A 5,305-nucleotide genomic window follows, 5' to 3' on the forward strand; every position below is an offset into this window, starting at 1 on the left:
GTTATGGACTTCAGTTCCATTTGTGTTGCTGCAAAGAAAATAATTTCATACTTTTTTATGGCTATGTAGTATTCCATGGTATATATGTACCACATTTTCCTTATCAAGTACACCATTGATGGGCACTGAGGTTGATTCTATGTCTTTACTATTGTGAATAGCATGACAATGAACATACACGTGCATGTATCTTTATGGTATAATAATCTATTTTCTGGTCAGGCACGGTGCTTCATGCCTGTGATCCCAGCACTTTGGGAGGCCAAGGTTGGCAGATCATCTGAGGTCAGGAGTTCAAGACGAGCCTGGCCAACATGGTGAAACCCTGTCTCTACTAAAAATACAAAAATTAGCTGGGCATGATGGCGGGTGCCTGTAATCCCAGCTACTCAGGAGGCTGAGGCAGGAGAATTTCTTGAACCCGGGAGGTGGAGGTTGCAGTGAGGTAAGATCACGCCATTGCACTCCAGCCCAGGCGACAAGAGTGAAACTCTGTTTAAAAAAAAGTTATATTCCTGGGGCATATAACCAGTAATAGGGCAGCTGGGTCAAATGGTAGCTGTGTTTTAAGTTTTAAAATAAATCTCCAACATGCTTTCCGCAGAGGCTGAACTAATTTACATTCTCATGAAGAGTATACATGTGCTCCCTTTTCTCGGCAGCCTCGCCAGGGTTTCTCATTGTTTTAGTTTTTAATAATAGCCATTCTCACTGGTGTAAGATGGTAACTCATTGTGGTTTTGATTTGCATTTCTCTAATGAAAGGTGATGATGGTCTTACTTCATATGTTTATTGACTGCTTGTATGTATTCTTATCAGAGGTGTCTCTTTATGTCCTTTGTTCATTTTTAACAAAGTTATTTGTTTTTTGCTTGTTGATTTGTTTCAAAAGAAACAAAAAATAGAGTAATCAGACAACCTACATAATGGTAGAAAATATTTGAAAGCTGTACATCTGACAAGGGTCTAATATCCAAAATCTATAAGAAAGTAGTTTGTCTTGGCTAACAAGAAAATTCAAGCTGGGAACTGCTCAGGGCCAACCTGTCTCCCATTCTATTCAAAGTCATCCCTCTTCTCACTGAGATAAATGCATATCCGATTGCCTCCTTTGGAAAGGCTAATCAGAAACTCAAAAGAGTGCAACCATTTTTTCTCACCTACCTGTGACCTGGAAACCCCTTCCCCACTTTGAGTTGTCTCACCTTTCTGGACTGAACCAATGTTCATTTTATGTGTATTGATGTATTAAGTCTCCATAAAATGTATAAAACCAAGTTGTGCTCTGACCACCTGGGGCACATGTCATCAGTACCTCTTGAGGCTATGTCATGGGCACACATCCTCAACTTTGGCAAAATAAACATTCGTTTTCTTTTTTTTTTTTTTTTTTGAGATGGAGTCTCGCTCTGTCACCCAGGCTGGAGTACAGTGGCATGATCTCAGCTTACTGCAACCTCCACCTCCGAGGCTTCAAGTGATTTTGCTGCCTCAGCCTCCCCAGTAGCTGGGACTGCAGGTATGTGCAACCATGCCCAGCTAATTTTTTGTATTTTTAGTAGAGACGGGGTTTCACCATGTTAGCCAGGATGGTCTCGATCTCCCGACCTCGTGATCTGCCCACCCTGGCCTCCCAAAGTGCTGGGATTACAGGCATGAGCCACCGTGCCCAGCTCAATGGCAAAATAAACTTTCTAAGTTAACTCAAACCTGCCTCAAATTTTGGGGGTTCACAGGTCATTTTACAGGAACCCATATTTCTTGGAGGTTTTAGTCATTTTTCTTAATTTTTGTTAGACTGAGTTGATTCAAAGAGCTGACCATCAAACTCTGAGATTCTTTTCTCAGCATGTTCTATTCTTTTAGTAATACTTTTGATGTATTATGAATTGTTTTTTAGTAAATATTTTTAGCTCCAGAAATTCAGTTTGGTTTTGTCTTAAAATGGTTGTTTTATCTTTCATCTCTTGAGTCATTTTACTGGATTTTTTAGATTCATTAGATTGGGTTTTTCACTCGTGTCTGTGTGAAGAGACCACCAAACAGGCTTTGTGTGAGCAACAAGGCTGTTTATTTCACCTGGGTGCAGGCGGGCTGAGTCCGAAAAGAGAGTCAGGGAAGGGAGATAGGGGTGGGGCCGTTTTATAAGATTTGGGTAGGTAAAGGAAAATTACAGTCAAAGGGGGGTTGTTCTCTGGCGGGCAGGGGTGGGGGTCACAAGGTGCTCAGTGGGGGAGCTTTTGAGCCAGGATGAGCCAGGAGAAGGAATTTCACAAGGTAATGTCATCAGTTAAGGCACGGACTGGCAATTTTCACTTCTTTTGTGGTGGAATGTCATCAGTTAAGGCAGGAATAGGCCATTTAAATTTCACTTCTTTTGTGATTCTTCAGTTACTTCAGGCCATCTGGATGTATACGTGCAGGTCACAGGGGATATGATGACTTAGCTTGGGCTCAGAGGCCCGACAGGGTTTCTATTTACTTCTGAATCCCTATGTGTTTTTTTGACATCTGGACTCTAAATTCTATTTCTGACATCTCAGTCATTTCTGATTGGTTAAGAACCACTGCTGGGAAAATCGTGGACTGATTTGTGGGTAATAAGACACCTTGGACTTCTAATTTCCAGAGTTCTTACACTGATTCTTTCTCATCTGGGATGGTTGGTATTTTTTTAACTGTAGTGTGAGTTGAGTATAGTCAGTTGGCTTCATTTCTGGATGCATTCAGAGGGCTAGGGATCTGTACAGAAACTTTATATGTGGGTAAGTTCTTGCACTTGGTTTTACAGGTCTATATATTAGCAGGATAAATTTTGGGTGTTGTAGTTTGGGCTGCAATCCAGAATATGGTGCTCAAGAGTAATGACTGGTAGTTAGGTTAATACCCAGCCATGCAGCTCTTTTGTACTTCCTTGCATTTGCAGTTATGCTCTCTGATGGGGAGAAGAGAGAGATTACCCCATCACAAGTTTCACACCTGGACCTTGATGGGGGCCTCTCAGATCATTGGCACTGTAGCCACGTTTCTTCTGTTAGGTTCAGGGGCTGCAGCAGAAAGATATGCTACACTCTCTGGACTGGCTCTTTGAAGGGATGCATGCCCTATTCCCCCCCTAGATCAGGAGCCTGCACATCTTTTCCAACTCATTGCTCTGAGGGTGAGTGATCTCAGTGCTCTGAGTGATCTTGGGGGCCCCAAGATATTTTCTTTTCACACTATAATCTTTTCTTTTTGAGACAGAGTCTCGCTGTGTCGCCCAGGCTGGAGTGCAGTGGCGCGATCTTGGCTTACTGCAAGCTCCGCCTCCCGGGTTCACACCATTCTCCTGCCTCAGCCTCCCAAGTAGCTGGGACTCAGGCGCCAGCCACCACGCCCGGCTAATTTTTTGTATTTGTTTTAGTAGAGACGGGGTTTCACCGTGTTGGCCAGGATGGTCTCGATCTCCTGACCTCGTGATCCGCCCGCCTCCGCCTCCCAAAGTGCTGGGATTACAGGCGTGAGCCACTGCGCCTGGCCTCACGCTAAAATCTCTTATAATAACTATTATGTAGTCTTCTAATTGGTTTCTTTGCTTCAATCACTGTCTCCTCCTAGTCTTTCTCCAATGTAGCAGTCAGAATAATTATTAAGCAATATTAATCTCTATTTAAATGTCTAATTATCAATCTTTCCAAGATACAATATAGGAAAAGATTTTCTGTCATTTCTCAATTCTCTTAATCCTCTTTACAATTTTTTTCAAATCACATATCAAACCTGACATATATTTTCTTATATTTTTGTCTATCTTGCTAAAACGTAAGCTCTATGAGAGCAGGAACTTTGTTAGTTCAGTTCACTGCTATACTTCTGAATCTATCATAATTTCTGAGGCATAATACATTTATTACCTCAACATCTTATTATGAAAATTTCCAAAGATACAGTAAAGTTGAATAAATTTAACAATGAGCACTCATATATATTACTACCACTAATATTTTACTTTTAAAGTTGATTTGGGGGGTTAATTTTGTGGTCTAAAAAACGTATTCTTACATGTCGTAAGCAAAAAGGGCAAGTATTATTATGTCCAAGTTACAAATAATGAAACTAAGTTTCAAATAAGGAAATCAGCCACTTTCTAGTTTAGTACTTTACAAAGCTCCACACATTTATAGCATGTATCGTGACCTTGGTGACACACAGTAGTCACCTGGAAAGCTTTATAAACATTGGTGACTGGGTTTTACTCCCAGAGATCTTGACATAATGAATCTGGGCTTGAAAAGTTTCGAAACCTCCCTAAGTAATTCCAAAGTGCATTTAAGGTTGAGAACCCCTGTGTTAGTATTTTTTTAGTGGTTAGTAAATTAATGCTGAATAAACCATTTTTTCTATGACAGCTTGAGTTCTAATTGCGATGCCATACAATTCACCCATTTGAATTGTACAGTCAAGGATTATTAGTATATTTTCAGAAACGTGCAGTCAGCACTATAATTTTCAGTCACTTCACATCTTATTTCCATTCAATCTCCTACCCACCAGCCCCTGGTAACCACTAGTCAGATTTCCTCCTCTATAGGTTTTTTGTTGTTGTTGTTGTTGTTGTTTTTGCTAGACATCTCATATAAATAAATCGTATAATATGTGGTCTGTTGTAACTGGCTTCTTTCACTTGGTATGTTTTCAAAGTTCAGCCGTGGTTTGGCATGTATCAGTAGATTGTTCCTTTTTATGGCTAAATGATACTTTATTCTATGAATATGCCACATTTTGCTTATTCATTCATCAGTTGATGGACATTTAAGAAGTTTTCACTTTTTGGCTGTTATGTATAATGCTGCTAAAAACATTTATATATAAATTTTCATGTAAACATATGCTTTCAATTTTTTTTAATGTATACCTAGGAGTACAATTGATGGACCATATGGTAACCCTATGATTAACCTTTTAAGGAAGTTTTTTTCTAAAGCAGCTGTGCCATTTTACATTCTCCTTAGAATGCTATAAAGGTTCCCATTTTGCCACATCCTCACTTATGCTTATAATTATATGTATTTTTTTATTATAACCATCCTGGGTGGGTGTGAAGTGGCAGCTCAATGTTAGTTGTTCAACACATATTTGTTGGATGAATGTATCTAGAAAGATTAGAAGTACTGGACTGTTTCCTTAAAAGATTATTTACCTTTGATTAAATACCAGAACAGGTAGCTCTTGATTTTCTGATCCTCTCTGGTTTTTCTGACCCATGATGACTTCCATATTTTTCTTGCCTTTCTCATATTTGAGTTCCAGTGAGGCAACTTCTTT

General features: G+C 39.7%; 1 annotated feature.

Annotated features, from left to right (window-relative positions):
- Nucleotides 2,050-2,610: an enhancer, noted in NCBI's record as "NANOG hESC enhancer chrX:90189169-90189729 (GRCh37/hg19 assembly coordinates)". NCBI's record gives its function as "activates a minimal SCP1, AML or CMV promoter by ChIP-STARR-seq in naive H9 embryonic stem cells {active_cell/tissue: H9 hESC(naive)}" and the evidence as "EXISTENCE:reporter gene assay evidence [ECO:0000049][PMID:30033119]".

This window comes from Homo sapiens, chromosome X, assembly GCF_000001405.40.
Source record: "Homo sapiens chromosome X, GRCh38.p14 Primary Assembly".
Classification (NCBI taxonomy): Eukaryota; Metazoa; Chordata; class Mammalia; order Primates; family Hominidae; genus Homo; species Homo sapiens.